At 37.3% G+C, this 19,702-nt stretch overlaps 1 protein-coding gene across 88 annotated transcripts in view; it reads left to right on the top strand.

The window, feature by feature from the left end:
• PTPN20 (protein tyrosine phosphatase non-receptor type 20) overlaps window positions 1-19,702 on the top strand; it is a 92,226-nt gene that overhangs the window by 10,547 nt on the left and 61,977 nt on the right. For 13 of the 88 annotated variants that reach the window (NM_001042363.5, NM_001352552.2, NM_001352528.2 and 10 more), the window contains exon 2: window positions 18,649-18,743. The exons of 38 other annotated variants lie outside the window; for them this stretch is intronic. Coding sequence is in view for 35 of the 50 variants with exons in the window: in NM_001042358.5 (NP_001035817.1) it covers window positions 18,649-18,743 (95 nt within the window). In the remaining 15 variants the exon portion in view is untranslated. Of the gene's footprint in view, window positions 1-2,811; window positions 3,620-4,025; window positions 4,154-10,402; window positions 10,560-18,607; window positions 18,744-19,702 lie in introns of those variants that run through there. 37 more of the 88 variants (XR_007061954.1, XM_047425004.1, XM_047425008.1 and 34 more) reach the window with 8 other exon arrangements.

Below are 19,702 nucleotides of genomic sequence, written 5' to 3' on the forward strand. Positions count from 1 at the left end.
CAGAACTGTGAGAGAATACATTTCTGCATTTTTAAGCCATCCAATTTGTGGCACTTTGTTATGGCAGCCATAGGAAATGAATACATATTTTGATACCAGGAAATCTTTTTCTGTTGGAATAACTACCTAAAAAACATGTAAGTGGCTTTGGAATTGTGTATAGACTGGAATAATTTTTAGGTGCATAACATAAAAAGCCTAGACTGCTTTGAAAAGACTATTGGTAGAAATACAGATATTAAAGGTGATTCTGGTGAAGGCTCAGTAGAGAGGGGAATTTTAGAAAAAGCATCTATCATAGATTCTTTGCATCTTAGAGAATACATATGTTGTCATGAACAGAATGTTACTAGAAATGTGAACTTTAAAGGTGCTTCTTGTGAGGCCTTAGAAAGGAAGTGGTGAATATATTATCAGACACTGGAGGAAAAGTGATCCTTATTACAGAGTGGCAGAAATTTGGGTGAACTGTGTTTTACCTGTGGGTGGAAAGCAGAACTTGTAGGCAGTGAGCTGAGGAGATTTCTAAGTAAAGCGTGAAAGATGGGGCCATGGTTTCTCCTTGCTGCTTATAGTGAAATGCAAAAGGAAAGAGATAACTTGAGGAAGGAATTGTTAAGCAAAGGAACCAGCACTTGATGGGTTTGAAAGTTCTCAGCCAATCCAGGAAACATACTCCCGAAACAGGACCAAGGGTGTGGCTGAACAACCATTCACTGAAAAGATTACCTGGTGACTCATGGATCCAGACAGCCCTCTCAGGCCCTGGAAACCTAATGAAAATTTCCCTGCCATGTTTTGGACTTGTTTGAGACCTGTGACCCACTTTTTCCTTCCAGTTTCTCCCTTTTGGAAGGTGACTGTCTGTCCTATGCCTGTTGTATTTTGGAAGCAGATAACTTGTTTTGTGGATTTCAGTGTCCATAGGAGAGAAACTTTGCCCCAGGCTGGACCATACCCAGGATCTCACACATACTTGATTTAGGTGATTTAGGAGATGAGATTTGGGACATTACAGTTGATATTTAGAGGCAATTTTGACTTAGAGTTGATGCTGGAATGGGTCAAGGGTCCTGGAGATGTTGAAATGGGGTGAATGTATTTTGCATACAGTAAGGATATGACTTTTGGGGGATTGGAGAGAAGACTGTTGTGGTTTAAATTGTGTGAGACAGTTGAATCGTGCTGTCCAAGGATTTCTGGCAACCACCAAAAGACAGGAAGAGACAAGGAAGTATACTCCCCTAGAGCCTTCAGATAGAGTGCAGCCCTGCTGACACCTTGATTTAAGGCTTCTAATTTTCAGATTTGTTTTCCCTTCTTTTAAGCCACCCAGTTTGTGGTACCATGTTATAGCAGCTCTTGGGCACCAATACAGTTATCTTCTAGAAGTTTGAGAGTTTTTGTGTTTTACATTTAGGTCTGTGATTCATTTTGAGTTATTTTTTTGTGAAAGGTGTAAGGTCTGTTCCATTATCATTTTTTGAAAAAGAATATTCTTTCTTCACTGAATTTTCTTTGCTTCTTTACTAAAGATCGGTTGACTACATTTGTGTGGATATATTTATATGGATACTGTATTCTGTTCCATTGATCTATTTGTCTATTCTTTCAACAGTACCTTGTGGTCTTGTCTTGAAATCTTGTATTATCTGTCTTCCAACTTTGTTCTTCTTTAGTATTTTGTTGATTATTTTGGGTTTTCTGCGTTTTCATATAGACTTCAGAATGAATTTGTTGATACCCATGAAACAATTTGCTGGTATTTTTGTTGGAATTACATTGGCTTTATAAACCATATTGGGAAGAATTGAGGTCTTAAAAATATTGAGTGTTTCTATACATGAACATGAAATATCTCTCCATTTGTTTAGATATTTGCTTTCCTTTGTCAAAGTTTGGTAGAGTTTCTCATATAGATCCTGTATATATTTTGTTATATTTATACCTGTATATTTCAGTTTTGGGGAGCAGCTAATGTAAATGATACTGTGTTTTATATTTCCAATTCCAATTGTTAATTGCTGGTTTATAGAAAAGGAATTGACTTTTGCATATTAACTTTGTATTCTGCAACCTTGCTGTAATTGCTTATTAAGTTCCAGGAGTTTTTATTTATTGATTTATTTCGAGATGGAGTCTCGCTCTGTTGCCCAGGCTGGAGTGCAGTGGCGCGATCTCAGGTCACTGCAACCACTGCCTCCCGGGTTCAAGAGAATCTCCTGCCTCAGCCTCTCGAGTAGCTGAGATTACAGGTGCACGGCACCATGCCTGGCTAATTTTTTGTATTTTTAGTAGAGATGGCACTTCACCATCTTGGTCAGGCTGGTCTCAAACTCCTGACCTCAAGTGATCCGCATGCCTCAGCCTCCCAAGGTGCTGGGATTACAGGTGTGAGCCACCACGCCCAGCTAAGTTCCAGGTCTTCGGTGTTTGAAGGAGAAAGTTTATGGACTTAAAAAATTTTGTACCTGCAAAAGATCCATATTGCCCATAGCCCTTTTCTAAATCTTTTATTTTATAGATTAAGTGGCTAATTGTTTTTGTTTATTCTTTGAGATATTTTATATAGACATTTATGTCATCTGAGAAGCAAGGCAGTTTTATTTTTTCCTTTTCAACTGTATGCCTTTTGTTACTGAATTAGTCAGAAGTTGTATAAGATGTTGAATAGGAGTGGTAAAAGAGAACATCCTTGCCTTGTTACCTATCTTAGGGGAAAGCCTCTAGATTCTCCCTGTAGATTTTTTTTGTAGATATTTTTTATCAAGTTGAGAAAGTTTGCCTCTAGTCCTAGTTTTCCAAGAATTTTTTTTTTTAAATCAAGGATGGAATTTGGATTTTGTCAAATGCTTTTTTGCATCTATTGATATGATTATATGAATTGTCAAGAATCAGTGAGTACTTTGCCAGATGTCCACTAAACTATGAGCTCCTTGGAGGCAGAAGTTATTGCATCATCCCTGGATCCACATCTCTGATACAGTGACTAGCACATTGTAGACACTCAAAGCCTGCTGAATTGATTTAGCGTTTTACTTTTCACAGTCAAGAGATCACACACCGGAAAGACATATTTGTGACATACTCGGTACATGGAAGGTGTGGTTGCCAGGCAACCACACCCCAGCCTGGGTTGTTTGGTGACTGGATAAGGTATGGGGCTGGTGGTCTCCGAACCATCCTAATCACTTTCTTAGAACTACCTGATTGAGGCTAAGGGCATGCCTCTTTCTGTTTATTTTTCTGTTTGTCCTTTTCTTCTGTTTGTTCTTGAATTAGTCACCGTGCAACTTTAGCCACTCGCTTCTAAGTAGCATAGAGTCCCCCAAAACATGAGTACCATTTGCTATTCTTTAGGAACAGCTTTCTTACCAGAAGTGGGTGGCTCAGGCATCACTGCCTTATCACAGGGAAGTATTTTCCACCTATTACCTCATATCTGACTGTGAGGACCACAAAGGAGTGAGAAGGTGGGGAAGGTGAGCTAGGAGAGGGAAGAATTTCAGATGAGGAGAACTTGCTGCTGCTGCTGCTGCTGCTTCCTCTTTTTTTTTTTTTTTTTTCCAGGCTGCAGAAACTCAGGGTTCAAACCATTAAATGATGAGAAAGCTAGAAGGTTGGTTTTCTCTTCTCATTATTAACTTATCACGGAGAAGATGTCTACAGAGGATAGAGGAGTAGGAACATGCCTTTTCTTTTTTCTCTGTTCATGGCAGGGCTTCTAAAAGGAGCCTGACTATAGCTCTCAGTTCAGACAAGAATATTATAACCATCACTAATGGTCTTCAGTGTTTTAAAGAGAAAGTTTATGGACTTAAAAAATTTTGTACCTGCAAAAGATCCATATTGCCCATAGCCCTTTTCTAAATCTTTTATTTTATAGATTGAGTGACTAAAGATTAAGGACAAGGTTGGCCTTTAGGCATATGTGGACCCATGGGTATATAATCTGAGTAAGTCAGGAAGTTCTCTCTCTGACTTCTTTTCATTTTCTTAGTGTAGATGCCTTCCTTGTCCTTTAGGTGGCATATTGGTTTTTCTGGAATCCGTTGCGAAACTGTTCTTATCTACTTAAAGGGAACTCATTTGAAGTCTGAGTCTTGAGGGAATAGGCAGAACAGGCATGTTGGAAGGAAAGTATGAGTCTCAGGTGAGTCTCAGGTGGGAGGGACAACTGTGTATTATAATTTTACTTGGAGTTTTCCCTGGTTTGATGATCTTTTATTGAGCTTGTAATTTTAGTCCTTATTTATATAAGCCCACTGACTGCACATTATGAGACATTTGTCTGGAATTCCTCTTTTCATGATAGCAGAACAAGTTAAATTTTGTTGGACATGTATATTTTTATATTAAGAAGATATTAGCTTGTTACTTTAAAAAAGCATTTAGTGCAAAAATGGTCAATTGTAGGTAAGCCTTGTATGCAAAATTATTTGCAGTTAAAAATATTGCAACATTACACAGTTCATTTTTCCTTCTTTTGCGGAGATGGCTGCTCTGTGATTACCCTGGGATGATGTTCAGGTAATGCTGTGTAGTTTTTTCTCTCCTAGGAAGTGGAAGGCAGGAACTTAGAAAGTGAGATATAACTAAGAAGGGTCTGTTAATGAGGAAGACAACGTATTTTCCCATGCTAGCCTTTGTCAGAGCTCTCCCAGGTTCAACGATTGGATAGAAGGATTCATGGGGTTCAGCAGGTAGTCACATTCATGGCTAAGATATGGTAGACTGAAAAGGTAGAAAGCAAAATCAACAAGGGATATCAGATACAAACTCCCCAGAATATTCTCCTTGTGGAGTCACATAGGATGCACTTAATTTTCTGAATAACAAGGTATGGAAACTTGTGTGAAGTGTTGTCTATCAGGGAAGCTCGTCTGAGCTTAAGAGTTTAGGGTTTTTATCAGGGGTTAGTCATGAGCACAGACTGTCAGTGTGACTGATAGCAGTCACTGAAATTCCAGATACCTAGAAGGAAAACAGATGTTTTAGGAGAAGTGAGCTACTTTTCTCATTTAGAAAAAATTTATATTAGTGTAGGCAATGATTTTACCAGCCAAGTTCCCAGACACCAGCCAAGGGCCAGGCTTGTATGCAGGCATTCCTAAGGAGACTCGTCTTGGACCTGGTAGGTGAAGTCATGAACTTTTGTCTGCACACATGTGTAATGTGTATACATTCCTGACTTACATGATCTCAGTTATGGAAATGGTTCAGCTGCACCCAGTAGATAAGTAGTTCTTTGGAGTATGGAGGCCAAGGTCTACTAATGAAACTGTGCCCCAAAGAGTTAACCAGTGGCAAAGAGAAATTCTTGAATTTATAGGATTGGTTGATAAAAATAAAAAACAAAAACAACTTTCTGAAACACTGAAATTCTCTCTGCTTTTAAGATAACAAAACTGGCTGAAATCAGTTGGAACCAATACAGCAAACTAGAGTCTACACAGAATGAGCTTGCTGACGCCACAGCCCAAATTTCCACTGCATGTTTCGTACTAACTCCCCCTGAATTTACATATGTGACCCATGAGATAGCATGAAGAGATACTGCAAATGCCCAAAGCCTTTTCAGACCCCCCTTTCCTTCTACCAATCTCCTACTATCCCCAAATTCACTCCCTACACATTTTCTAATAAAAATACTGCCTTAAAAACAGTACAGGAAGACAGATTTGAGCTAGACTCCTGTCTCCTTGTTGGTTGACCTAGAAAAAAGTCTTTCTTTTCTCAAAAACCCAGTGCCATAGTATTGGCTTCTAACACATTGAACAGTGAACTCTTTTGCTTGGTAACAGTGATTGGAGGTACAGGAATTGTGTCTTCTGAAATAAAGCACCCTCTTATAATTACTGATACACTTCCACAAGAGAGGGAGAGGAACGTAGGAAGGAGGGAAGAAAAGAAGTGTAAACAGACAAATGGACAAACAGATCGACCTGAGGTTCAGGAGGTTGGAGGGAATATGCCAAAGCAATTTATATCATGAATGAAACAAACAGTAGAAGGTTGTTTGCCTTGCACCCTAATAGCAGAGGCATCCAGATAACAGAGTCATTTCAGAAAGATGTCTTAAGTCATTCATTACTTTTACTTGAACCATTCTAATAATTGATAAAGTATTTACTCAGAATGTAGCTCATGGCAACTGTATCATCATCAGTCCCTGGGTTTCAAGGGTGAAGCATTGTTGATATAGGGTCTCAGTGCCTTTGGAACCTTGAGTCTTCCATTATTCCAATGAATGCTCACAGTAATCTTTAATGAGCTTGCTGCTCATGTCTGTGATGAGTGGGTAGCAACTATTTTTTAATGTTTAAACTTGCATTAATAACTTGATATTATCTTTATCCTAGAGTTTCTGTATTTTATTTTAATTGAAGTACATTATCTTTTTGTGGCTTTTTAAAAGTCAACTTTATTGAGGTGTAATTATGTATAAAGCTTTTAACCTTGCAAGTAAAGATGGTTTTCCTTCTTCCTTCCCAATATGAATCCTTTTATTTTATTTTTCTTGTTTTGCCTGATTGCATTGGGCAGAACTGTCAGTGGCTCTGGAGGTAGCACTTTAGCACTTCACTTCTCCCTGCTTCCCTCTGAGCCCCCAGTCCTATACTCACACACTACAGGGAATGATTGATTAAGAAACCACGGAATGACATTTCTTAATGGTTATGTTTATAATCAGAAAAAGCAATACCACCATTCCTTATAGAAAACTAAGAGCCATTATTAAAAGGCATAAAACATGCCAAATAATTACTAGTAGTCTAAGAAGCTTGTACTGAGAATTTAGTCACAGGAAATACAGATTTCAGAGGAAGGAACTCATATCCCTGGGGTGCCTACAGGTAGGGCAAGAGTAAGTCACTATTGAACATTTGAGACTTCTTTCATTCCCTTCTCTTCAGGCTAGTATAGGTCTCAGGGAGTAGTGTATGATAGAACTTTCACAAGAATTAGAAGTAGCCCTGGTGCTAAGAATTGCCAGAGGCCCAAGGTGCTGAGCATGTCATTTTACATTGTCTATTTTGGCATCTTGCACCCAACCCAAAGTCCACTGTGAAGAAATAGTCTTTGTTAGCACCTGCTTCAGTTTTGAGAGAGTTTGAGATAGACTGAAAATAGTGTCCCAGCTGAGAATTTGAGAATATGTACAGTATTCAGTGACTCTCCAATTATGTCACCCTGCCACCTGAGGAAAGGTGTTTTGCTTTTGTTTCCTGAGCAAACCAAACACTTGTAGTTTTTCTTTTATTTATGATTAGATGGGATCACTTTGTTTCATATTGGAGCTTTTGTTCCTCTTTCCTCAGTGCTCTATCACAGAATAAGTAATACTTTTTTAAGGATTTCTCTTTTATCAGGGCTAATTCTCTATTTTCTATACTATTGCACCTTCCCCAGGAGTTGGAGGGAAACCTTTATCTTACGAACCTGACCACTGGTCCCTCAATATCTTTCACAATCTTTCCCTAAGGGACCGAGTGCCTATCACTCAAGTGGTACCTCTGTGACTTCTCAGAGTTCTTGATGTGGACATGCAGATTAGTTACCTGGTGATACATACACATTCTTTATGGAATTTAACTAATTAGTCCCTCAAACATTTCTTGCCATGTCTCCATTGTGTTAGTCTAGTGGCTGGAGATTGAAAAGTGAAAATGTTACAGTTTCTGTCCTCAAGATGCTTATGGTCCAACCCGAGGAGATGAGTCCAGAAATCATTATAAAACATGGAGCTTATAGGGGAAGCACTTGCAGGGGCTTACTTAGCCAAGCTTGAGGGGAGGTGGGAAATATGGTAAAAGCTTGCACTATATTTTCTGAAAGGTTTTCTTCTGCAAATGAAGATTTTGTTTTTATCATATAGTTTACTTTTCTAGGCTACCTAAAATTTCAGTACACATGTGTTGATGTTGACTTGTATGATCTTATTACTGATTTACTACAGTAGCTGCAACTCAAAATTGAATTAAATGTTAATGATTTTAATATTGCTTTGTTTTGTCTATTTTAAGATATACTAGAAAACATGCCAGGAAAGGGAAATTTATCCAGTTTAATTCTTGTGTTTCTGTAGGGTTATCTGTGACTCACTGCACTGTTGTTTATTAAAATACTAGGATTAGGCATGCATTTCTGATCAAAGCTGTTCTGATGGAAGGTTTGAACAACTGACTATTGGTATGGTTTGATATGAATTTTAGTCTATTCATCTGTGCACTGGAGAGGTCTTAATAATATGTGTGTGTATTTATATAAAGAGGATAAGTCATTGGGGTAAAGGACCATTCACATATTTATTTGTGGAATGCAAGATATAGCATGTTTAAACCCTAGTATTTGAATTAGTAAGAGTGTCTCCAGTTATCAAGGAGTGTCTTGAAATTACTTGATAAAATTCGAAACAAAATTTATTTTGTCTTTAATTAAAATTGTACTATTTTGTATCTTTTCAATAACATAGTTGGTAGGCAGAAGCTTAGGTGTCATTCTTAGAGGTTCTTAGTTAATTCTGAGGTCCTTAAGATCTCATGTCTGCTTCCAGGGAAGGCTCCTTACTGAAATCTGTTACCTCACTGCCAGTCACAAGAACACTGCCATCCTTTTGTTTTTGTTTTTAATTGAGACAGAGTCTTGCTCTGTTGCATAGGCTGGAGTACAGTGGCACAATCATAGCTTATTGCAGCCTCCATCTTGCGGGCTCAAGTGATCCTCCTGCCTTAGCCGCCCAAGTAGCTGGGACTACAGGTGAGTGCCACCACACCTGGCTATCTTTTTCTTTTTTTTAATTTTTGGTAGAGATGAGGTCTCACTGGGTTGCTCAGGCTGCCCTCGAACTCTTGAGCTCAAGTGATCTTCCCACCTCGGCCTCCCAAAGTGCTGGGATTACGGGTGTGAGCCACTGTGCCTAGCCCTCCTCCTATTTAAAAAAGATATTCTTCCCCTTGTCAAAGCAGAGTTTTTTAAAAATTATAAATGTGACTCACAAATTTGAAATGAAACCAGGTTAAACATTTTACTCAATGTATTAATTAGTGAAGAAACCAGGAAGATGGCAAAGGTAGTTCAAAGAACAGTTTGAGGATCTAGGTTTTTCACTGGCGTTTTGAACCAATGTTAGAGTAAGAATGCTAGATTAGATTAAGAAAACCTGGTTAATGCCAGACAGAAATAAATTATAATCTTTAGTGTTACCTTATCAGACAGAAATTATTTGTATCACTGCTGGACAAAAATCTATAGGTTACGTTGTAATTGCATTAAGTCTAGGACTTTTAATCAGTAGTAAACAATGAACTGAATAAAGTACAATTTCCCCACATAAGTAATCTTTGGGATGGCCTGTCATTATTTTATGACATTGAAGTGACATTCCACTTATCTTTTGCCTTACTTTCACATTTTAATTTAGTTTAATTTTATTTTTTCTGCCACAGGGTCTGGCTCTGTTGCCCAGGCTAGACTGCAGTGGCATGATCTTGGCTCACTGTATCCTCCTCCCAGGCTCAAGCCATTCTCCTACCTCAGCTTTTCAAGTAGCTGGGACCACAGGTGTGTGCCACCACACCCGTCTAATTTTTGTAGAGACAGGATTTCACCCAATTGCCCCAGCTGGTCTCAAACTCCTGAGCTCAAGCGATCCTCCTGCCTTGGCCTCCCAAAGTGCTAGGATTGTAGGCATGAGCCACTACACCTAGTCTTAAATAATTTTTTAACACCTATATCTCAAAGTTTTTAAAATAAATCTGTTTCACACATTAACTTTAGATTCAGATTATAGTAATACCATTTTATTTGCAGGTAGTAAATGGAAAGGTCTCCAGATAAAAGTATTCTTGGTTTTAACCAATGGGAGCAATGTAACATGGCCTTACAGGCCCTTTATGGCAAGAATTAGAAAAGAAAAAAGATTTATTCTGTGTGAGAACTTTTTATAGATTGAATGAACAAGAACTCCTTGAAGACGGTCTCTGTAATTAATTCTTATTTATTCAGTACTGAATTCTCAGCACCTAATTTAGCTTAGGTGTGGCGTTTAAATAACTGAGTTTCCATTGAGTGACATTGATTGAATTTGTGTGTGTGTGTGTGTGTGTGTGTGTGTGTTTATATAAAGAGATACGTCATTGGAGTGGAGGGGCCATTCACATATTTATTTGTGGAATGCAAGGTATAGCATATTTAAGCTCTGGTATTTGAATAAATAAGCGTATCTCCAGTTCTCAAGGAATATCCTGAAATTATTTGATAAAATTTCAAATGAAATTTATTTTGTCTTTAATTAAAATTGCAGTTTTAAATATTTTGAATTGATGAGTAATAATATGTCAAAGCTGTGATAGCTCCAGTTGTGTAACAGAAAAATCTTTGGCTTTGTGTGTTTTACCAGGTGAACAAAAATTGTTTGCTGGCCCCCAGGATACTAACTAGACCTTTGGCCTGACTCACAGGACACTAAGGCTCCTTTTCTGAAGAAGCCTTTTACCAGTCTCATTTAGGGGATGGGAACAACATGTCTTCACCTAGGGACTTTAGAGCAGAGCCTGGTAGGTGCATCATCTACTTTTGTGGGTATGGGATCAGGAGGAGCTACAGGAGTGCCTCTCAGACTGTAGATTTGCATAGGGACCACCTGTGGATTATTATCCTGCATATTCTGATCCTCTGGGTCTTGGTGGGGTGGGGTGGGGGGCAAGACTCTGCATTTCTAATAAGCCATCACGCTTAGAGTAACAACAATTAAACTCTAGTGTTTTACTTTACCCTTTTCAAATGGCATTTTTTTTTCCTGATTATAAATGTAATATAGGTTTATTGTGAAGAATTTGGGAAGTACAAAAAAGCACCAAAACACAAAGAAAACAACAAGACAATAAAAACAACCTGTAATCTGCCACAAAGCTGTTTGTTTCCATAATTTTGTTAGCTGTGAACTCAGGGCATATACATTTCTAAGGTTTTTGATACATCTACTAATGCAGTGTTTTAGTTAAATGTCAGCTGTCTCCCAGCCGACCCATATTGCCATTGTCTTGCTTAAAACATTAGTAGCTTGCCATCATTTTTCAGTATGTCTTTTATGCCTTTTCTCATTCCTTCCACCTTCAGCCCAGCTTCTATTCCCTCTTCTATCCGCCCTCCTTGTCATTATTATTGCTCTCTCCCTAGAAGTGTTTTTCCAATCCTTATCGGGTATAATTGACAAAAATTGTGTATACATAAGGTGTGCAACTTGATGTTTTGATTTGTCTATATACTGTGAAATGATTACCACAATTAAGCTAACATATCCACCACCTCACAGTTACCATTTTCTTTCTTTGTGTGTATGTGTGTATTACAAACATAAGATCTACCCTCTTAGCAAATATCATTACAATACAGTATTGTATGTATTTTGCTATACATCAGATCTTCAGAACGTATTCATCTTGTGTAACTGTTACTTGATACCATCTGACCAACAACTCCCCATTTCCTCCTTCCTCTATACCCTGGAAACCACCATTCTGCTATCTGCTTTTGTGAGCCTGGATTCCATCTGTAAGTCAGATTATGTGTAAGATGAGGGATAGGAGTCTAAGTTTATTCTGCATAGGAATATCCAGTTTTTTCCAGGACCATTTATAGAAGAGACTTTCTTGTCCCCAATATATGTTCTTTGTGCCTTGTCATAAAAGAGTTGGCTATAAACATATGGAATTATTTCTGGGTTCTCTATTCTATTCCACTGGTATATGTGTCTGTTTTTATACCAGTATCATGATTTTGTGGTTACTATAGATTTGTAGTGTATTTTGAAGTCAGGTAGTGTAATACCCCAAGCTTTGTTCTTGTTTTTTTTTTGTTGTTGTTTGTTTGTTTTTATTTTGTTTTTGTTTTTCTTGGCTCAGAATTGCTTTGGCTATTTGGAGTATTTTTTGTACTTCCATATGAATTTTATGATTTTAAAATTTCTCTGAAGAATGTCATTGGTATTTTGATAGGAATTGCATTGAGCTCTCAGATTCTTTGGTTATATTGTCATTTTAAAAATATTTATTCTTTTATTCCATGAACATGAGATGTCTTTCCATTGGTTTGTGTCTTCCTCAATTTATTTCATCAATTTTTTATAGTTCTTATTCTAGAGATCTTTAATCTCTGGTTAAATTTATTCCTAGGTATTATTTTTTGTAGTTATTGTAAATGAGATTGCTTACTTGATTTCTTTTTCAGGTAGTTTGTTATTGTTTTATAGAAATGCTACTGATTTTTGCATGTTGATTTTGTATCCTGCAACTTTACTTAATTTGTTTATCAGTTCTAAGAGTTTTTTGGTGGATTCTTCAGGTTTTTGCATTTGTAAGAGCATGTCATCTCTAAACAGGGACAAATTTGACTTCCTCCTTTTCAATTTGGCTACCTTTTATTTGTTTCTGTTGCCTAATTGTTCCTTCTTTTCAATCTGGATGCCTTTTGTTTGTTTCTCTTGCCTAATTGCTCTGGCAAGGACTTCCTGTATGGTATAGTTTGGATGTTTATCTCTTCTAATCATGTTGAAAGGTAATCCCCAACCTGGTGGGAGATGTTGGATCATAGGGGCAGATCCTTCGTGAATGGCTTGGTGTTATCCCCCTGGTGATGAGTGAGTGCTCTCTCAGTTCATGTGAGATCTGATTGTTCAAAGGAGTCTGGAACCTCCCCTTCTCTCTTGCTTTGTCTCTCACCATGTGATTTGCTGGCTCCTCATTCACTTTTTGCCATGACTATAAGCCTCCTGAGGTTAGATACTAGAAGCAGATACCAGCACCATGCTTCCTGTACAGCCTGCAGAACCACGAGCCAGAACAAACCTCTTTTCTTTATAAATTACCCAGCCTTAGACATTCCTACGTAGTGATGCTAACAGACTAACACACAGTATTATGGGTTTTTTAAAAAAAAATTTAAAAATAACATCTGCCTGATTCCCTCACTGATTAATGAATATAATAAAGTAACATGTGCATTTATATGTCTGTATGAGAGCTGTGATTTTCTTTTTCTGGAAACTATCCTTTAACAGTTGCAAACTTTTATGAAAAAGCTAATTTTAATGATAAATCAGTTAAGCTAGAATATGCAAAAACATGGAAAGCTACCCAAACTTTTTTGTAGACTAGTTCTTTCCAACTTTTATTTTAGGCTTGGGGGTACATAGGAAGGTTTGTTACATGGGCAAATTGCTTGTTGCTGTGGTTTGGTGAACAAATGATCTCATCACCCAGGTAGTGATTCACTTAAGATAATGGCCTCCAGCTACATCCATGTTGCAGCAAAGGACATGATTTCATTCTGTTTTTTTTTTTTTTTTTTTATTGTTGTTGTTGTTGTTTTTGTTTGAGACAGAGTCTCGCTCTGTCAGCCAGGTGGAGTGCAGTGGCACGATCTCGGCTCACTGCAACCTCCATCTCCCAGGCTCAAGCAATTCTTCTGCCTCAGCCTCCCGAGTAGCTGGGATTACAGGCGTGTGCCACCATGCCCGGCTAATTTTTGTATTTTTAGTAGAGACAGGGTTTCATCATGTTGGCCAGGCTGGTCTCAAACTCCTGACCTCAGGTAATTCATCCGCCTTGGCCTCCCAAACTGCTGGGATTACAGGCATGAGCCGCCGCACCCAGCCATGATTTCATTCTTTTTATGGTTGTGTAATAGTCCATGGTGTTTTTGCACCACATTTTCTTTATCCATTCCACTGTTGACAGGCATGTAGGTTGATTCCATGTCTTTGCTATTGTGAAAAGTTCTGTGATGAACATACATGTGCATATGTCTTTATGACGGAACAATTTATATCCCTTCATATAGCCAGTGATGTGATTGCTGAATCAAATGGTAGTTCTGTTTTATGTTCATTGAGAAATCTCCAAACCACATTCCACAGTGGTTGAACTTAAATTCCCATCAGCAGTGTATAAGTGTTCCCTTTTCTCTGTAACCTCACAAACATTTTTTTTTTAATTTTTACTTTTTAATAATAGCCTTTCTGGCTTGTGTAAGATGGTATCTCATTGTGGTTTTCATTTGCATTTCTCTGATGATTAGTGATATTGAGCATTTTTTCATATGCTTCTTGGCTATGTGTATGTCTCCTTTTGAAAAGTGTCTGTTCATGTCCTTTGCCCATTTTTTAACAGGGTTGTTTGATTCTTGCTTGTTCATTTATAAGTTCATTATAAGTTCTGGATATTAGACCATGTGTTCTGCCAGGTTTTGGTATCAGAACGATGCTGGCCTTATGGAATGAGATAGGGAGGAGTCCCTCTTCCTAATTATTTGAAATAGTTTCAGTAGGATTGGTACCACCTCTTGTTTATACATCTGGTAGAATTTGACTGTGAATCCTTCTGGCCCGGGCTCTTTCTGATTGGTAGGTTTTTTTAAATTACTGAGTTAGTTCCTGATTTAGTATCTATTCCATAGCCTAGAAATCAATGAGTAATTTTGAGTTTCATGTCTCATTATTTAAGAAACATTTTGTAAGGCTGTAGCTGCCATAGATAGTGATTCTTCTGATGGCTCTGGGCAAAGTAAATTGAAAACCTTTTGGAAATAACTCCCCATTCTAGACGCCATTAAGAACATTTGTGGTTTATGGGAGGAGGTCAAAATGTCAACATTAATGGGAGTTTGGGAAAAACTGATTTTAACCCTCATGGATGACTTTGAGGGATTTAAGACTTCAGTGCAGGAAGTACTATCCTAAGTTTTCGGCATCCACTGGGGGTCTTGGAACTAGGCATTCCCTGTGGGTAAGCGGGAACTGCTTTACCATTTCACATATAGTTGTAGGAACATAAGATACTTCCATTTCCTCCCATTTGCCTTTCATGCTATTATTGATACCAATTTTATTGTGAGTGTTGTATACCCTACAATAGATTATTATTTTTCCTTATAATTGAGTTATCTTTTAAAGAAATTAGAACATGTGAAAGAGTATGTTTTATGTGCTCATGTATTTTCCAGTTTTGCCACTCTTCATTCCTTTGGATAGTTCTACATTTTCATATTTTATCCTTTTCCTTGTGCCTGAAAAACTTCCTTTAACTTTTGTTGTTGTTGTTTAGTGCAGGCTGGATATAATCTTAGTTTTTATTGGTCTACAGAAGTCTTATTTTTTGAAATATATATTTTCAGGGTATAGAATTCTATATTGACATTCTATAAGAATTCTATGTTCTTTCAATACTTTAAAATGTCTCACCATTATCTTCTAGCATGCATGATTTCTGATGAGAAATCCATCATTCTTATCTTTGTTTTTCTATATTTAATGTGTCTGTTTTCTCTGGCATTTTTTCTTTTCAGTAGTTTGAATATGACATACATGAATGTGATTTTTCTATAAGCTCATATATTACATTTGTATTTTATTGACCTTCTTTGGTCTGTTGGTTTATAGTTTTCATCTAGTTTGGTAACACTTCAGCTATTATTTCTTCATATTTGTTTTGGCATTCCAGTTACAGGAATTTTAGTTCACTTGATGTTGTCCCAGTTTGCTGAGTCTGTTCAGTCTCTTTTTTTCGCTACTGTGCGCTTCATTTTGGATATACTCTTGCTGTATGTTGACAGACACTGATTTTTTTTCCTTCTGCCTTATCTGCTGTTAATTTATTTTAGTTCATACATTGTCTCTAGAAATTTCAGTAGGTCTTATTTTTACATGATTTATATCTCTTTTTATTGTATCATGTTTTTCTTTATTTCCTTGAGCACCTTTTAAAAATTTATAATAGTTAAAAGTTCTTTTTTCTAAATTTTATCATCTGTCATTTCTAAGTACATTTCTATTGATTGATTGATTTGGCTGTGGGTTATACTTTTCTATTCCTTGGCATACCTGTTAATTGTTTACTACACATTGTGAATTATATGATTTTGGTGCTGGATTTTTTCTTTTTCTTTTCTTTTTTTCTTCTTTTTTCTTTTTCTTTTCTTTTTTTTTTTTTTTCTTAGACAGAGTCTCACTCTGTCTCATAGGCTGGAGTGCAGTGGTGCAATCTTGGCTCACTGCAACCTTCTGCCTCCTGGGTTCAAGTGATTCTCCTGCCTCAGCCTCCTGAGTAGCTGGGATTGCAGGTGCGCACCACCATGCCCAGCTAATTTTTGTATTTTTAGTAGAGATGGGGTTTCACCATGTTTGTCAGGCTGATCTCGAACTCCTGACCTCGTGATCCACCCTCTTCAGCCTCCCAAAGTGCTGGGATTACAGGCGTGAGCCACCACACCCGGCCTTGATTTTTCTTTAAAGAATGTTGGGTTTTTCTGCCTTGTAGTTATGTTACTTGAAGTTTAACCTGATCCTGTCTGAGGCTTGCTCTTCACCTTTTTTATAGGTGGCCCTAAGGAGCTTCTGTTCCAAGGATAGTTTTAGTACTAAGAGGTATCTCTTCTGTGCACTATCCTCAACGCCCCCTGTATTACAGGGTCTCCTCATTCTGGCTCATATGAACTGTTCCTAGGAATTGTGTGGCTTGCTACTTTCCGGTGGTCCTTCCTGAGTGTCAGAGATTGTCCTCCTTCATATAAGCATATCCATATTCTGCAAAGGACATGAGAGGGTTTCTTTGCAGCTACTTAGACTTCTCTTGTTCTGTATAGCTCCCTCCTCCCTGGTACTCTGCCCTACAAATTCTGGCTGCCTCAGCCTCTCCTAACTTTGATCTTTTTCTTCTCAACTCATTGAATCACTGGACTCGTTGATTCCTTTCCTGAGCTATAGCCTGCAAACTTCTGGAGGCCATAATCTGGAGCAACCAGAAGGCTCACCCCCTTCTCTCTGGGATCACAGTCTGTTGTTTAAGGTCTGAAAATTATTGTTTTATATATTTTGTCCTATTTTCTGGTTGGTTGTGGTTAAGTCCTATTACAGTAAATCTCTCATAAGCATAAATGAAAGTCAATTGTAGGTTGTTTTACTTTTCATTTTTTGTTTGTCAGGTGAGGCTGGACTTTTTCTGAATATATTATTGGCCTGTAAGTCGCCTTCTATGAGTTGCTTGTTTACAATTCTCATAGACTTTTTTTTCCTGTTAATTTTTTTTCTAGCACTTGAAGCTCCTTCCTAGGTTTGCGGAATTTCCTATTTTCAGAACCGTTTGCATGAGAGATTTTTTTCATTGAAAGTCTGATAAAATCCCATCTGGAAACCTGTTTGGGCCCAGATGCTTTTTCCTCTTGGGAGTGATATTTTTGATTATTGGTTTGACTTTTTAAATGGTTATTACACTATTTAGGCTTTCTACATCTTCTGGAGTAAATTTGTATAACTTATAATTCTCTTATAAAAGTTTCCATTTCATCAGATTTCCCTAAAGTTTCTCATAATATTTGCTTATTACCTTTAAAAATGAGAGTTGCATCTGTAGCTGTGCCCTTTCTCATTTTTACACTTGATCTTAGCCAAAAGGCCGAGAAGCGATCCTTTTTCATTTTTAATGTTATTTGTGCACTTACTCTCCATTGATTTGTAGTGAAAGAGGGTTGCGTATTTTTAAGTTTTTTTTTTCAAAGAACTAGTTTATTGGATTTTGCTGATTATTCTTTAGGCTTATTTTCTGTTATTATATTTTTCTTTATGATTTTCTCCTTTGTAGTTTCTCTGGGTTTCCTCAGTTTTTCTTTGGCTTCTATGATTGAATACAAAACTCATTTATATCAGCTTTTTTTTTCTGCCTTTTTTGTAAACACATTTAAACCTATACATTTTCCCTCTATCTAAATACTCATTTAGCTACTTCACATTAGTTTTGATATGTTGTCCCTTCATTGATATTTCTTAATGTTTTAATTTATAAAATTAATTCATGTGTTATAAAGGTTCATAATTTCTATTAGATTTCCTTTTTAACACACATTCAGGAACACACTTTTTCATTTCCATAGTACTTGTTTACTATATTTTTATTGATTTGGTAATATGCCATGCCATAGAATTTCTAAATCATAATATTTAAGGCTCCCATGGTATGAGAAACAGTACTCTGAGTGCTCAGTACTGAGATCAGAGAAAATTTTCTCTTGGCTTCTTATCTGAAAGAGTCTGTGCAGTAAAATTAACACAGTAATTAGGAATAATCATATAAGAAACCCAGAGTTTCCTTGGGATGATTCATATTACATTATTCAACAAAGCCGAAAACAATTTTCTGTATAATTTAACATATTACTAACTTATGAATTATAAATAATACAAGAAGTTACAGTGCGACATTTGTAACACAGTATTCTTTATTCAAGAAATAGACTCTGAAACACAGAAGACTGTATTCTGTAGATCCCAATGCATAGGTTCTGCAGGTTGTAAATATCTAGGATTTACTTGAAGAGTACTTTCTTGAATAATATGGCAATGAGGAACAAGGGAACCGCTCAAAAGTCAACTCCCTGAGGATAATCCTAGAAGAAGGATCAGCTTTGCTATGTTGATTTTTTCAAAGCAGGGGAGAAAGAGATGATTACCATAGGAGATAAAGATGGGGTGTTTGGAAAACAGGAAAAGTAGATGAAAATGCCCCTCATGTAGCTTGTTTTTTCTCATTAAGGCTCCATTTTTCCTTCTGTATAGTGTTTTCTATTTGATCAGTTTTTCCCCCCGCCTTTGTTCAGTAAACGATTATGAGGGAAATGACTCTGAAGCAGAAGACTTGAATTTCAGGGAGACTTTGCCTTCATCAAGTCAGGAAAACACACCTAGATCAAAGGTAAGACTAAAAGGAGAGGGATCTCTACTAATTTTGGCTAATACCTAAATTGCTGACTATGCTCTCTGGGAAATGGGTATCTATTTGGTTCTCACCAAAATGATTTCTTAATTTTTTGTCACTGTAGTGTTGACAGTGACCAAAATGGGGATTTGAAAGAGTGGAATTTTTTGCAAAGTTTCTAATGAATTGCATTTTCTAATGCTACTCTGGAAATTTTACAGGCACTAGTTTTGTGTTACTAATGAAGATACAAAATAAATGTCACATGAAGTATGAAGCACCTTTAGATGTATTGATTGTGGACTTTTTCATTGTTTGAGACAGCATGATTGGGTGTCTCCGAACTATGGAAAAGTAGAGGGCTGTGAAAAGTCTGTGACAAAAACTCTTACTTCAACACATTACCCCATTTGTGGAGATAGTGCTAGGGTTAGAGCACAAAAAAAGGGAAATGCATTTTAGTCTGGTGGGTGCTTTGCATTTTTTTTTCTCTTACCTAGTCAACTGGAGCTTTGGAACTGCGATGATGATGCTGGCCTTGTGTTCATTTCCTGTAAGTTACAGGAGTAATAGAGATAAAGTCAGTACATAGACCAAAAACTGCTCCTACCACTTCCCCTGTTCAATTGCCACCTCCACCCCAGGTGGGCAGGAGTGCAGCTTTTAAGAACAGTGTTGTAACTTGATTATTATCTCCTGTCCATTCTCTGCTATACTTAAGTTGGCCACATCAAGGCTACCATCACATCTTTGGCTGGGAATCTCTGGCTGTTAGTGCCGTGTTGGGCTCTCCGCTCACTCTTGATTCTTTTCTCTGATCAGAATGGTTTTCTCTTTGAAGCAGAGACGATTTGAAAGGGAGCACCTTCACAGAATGGCCCAAGTATATCCTTTATATAGTCTTATAGTCTTATTTGACTTCTTCTAGAACTGAGCACATTTTGTGATTTTGTTTA

This window comes from Homo sapiens, chromosome 10 (assembly GCF_000001405.40).
Source record: "Homo sapiens chromosome 10, GRCh38.p14 Primary Assembly".
In the NCBI taxonomy this organism is placed as follows: Eukaryota; Metazoa; Chordata; class Mammalia; order Primates; family Hominidae; genus Homo; species Homo sapiens.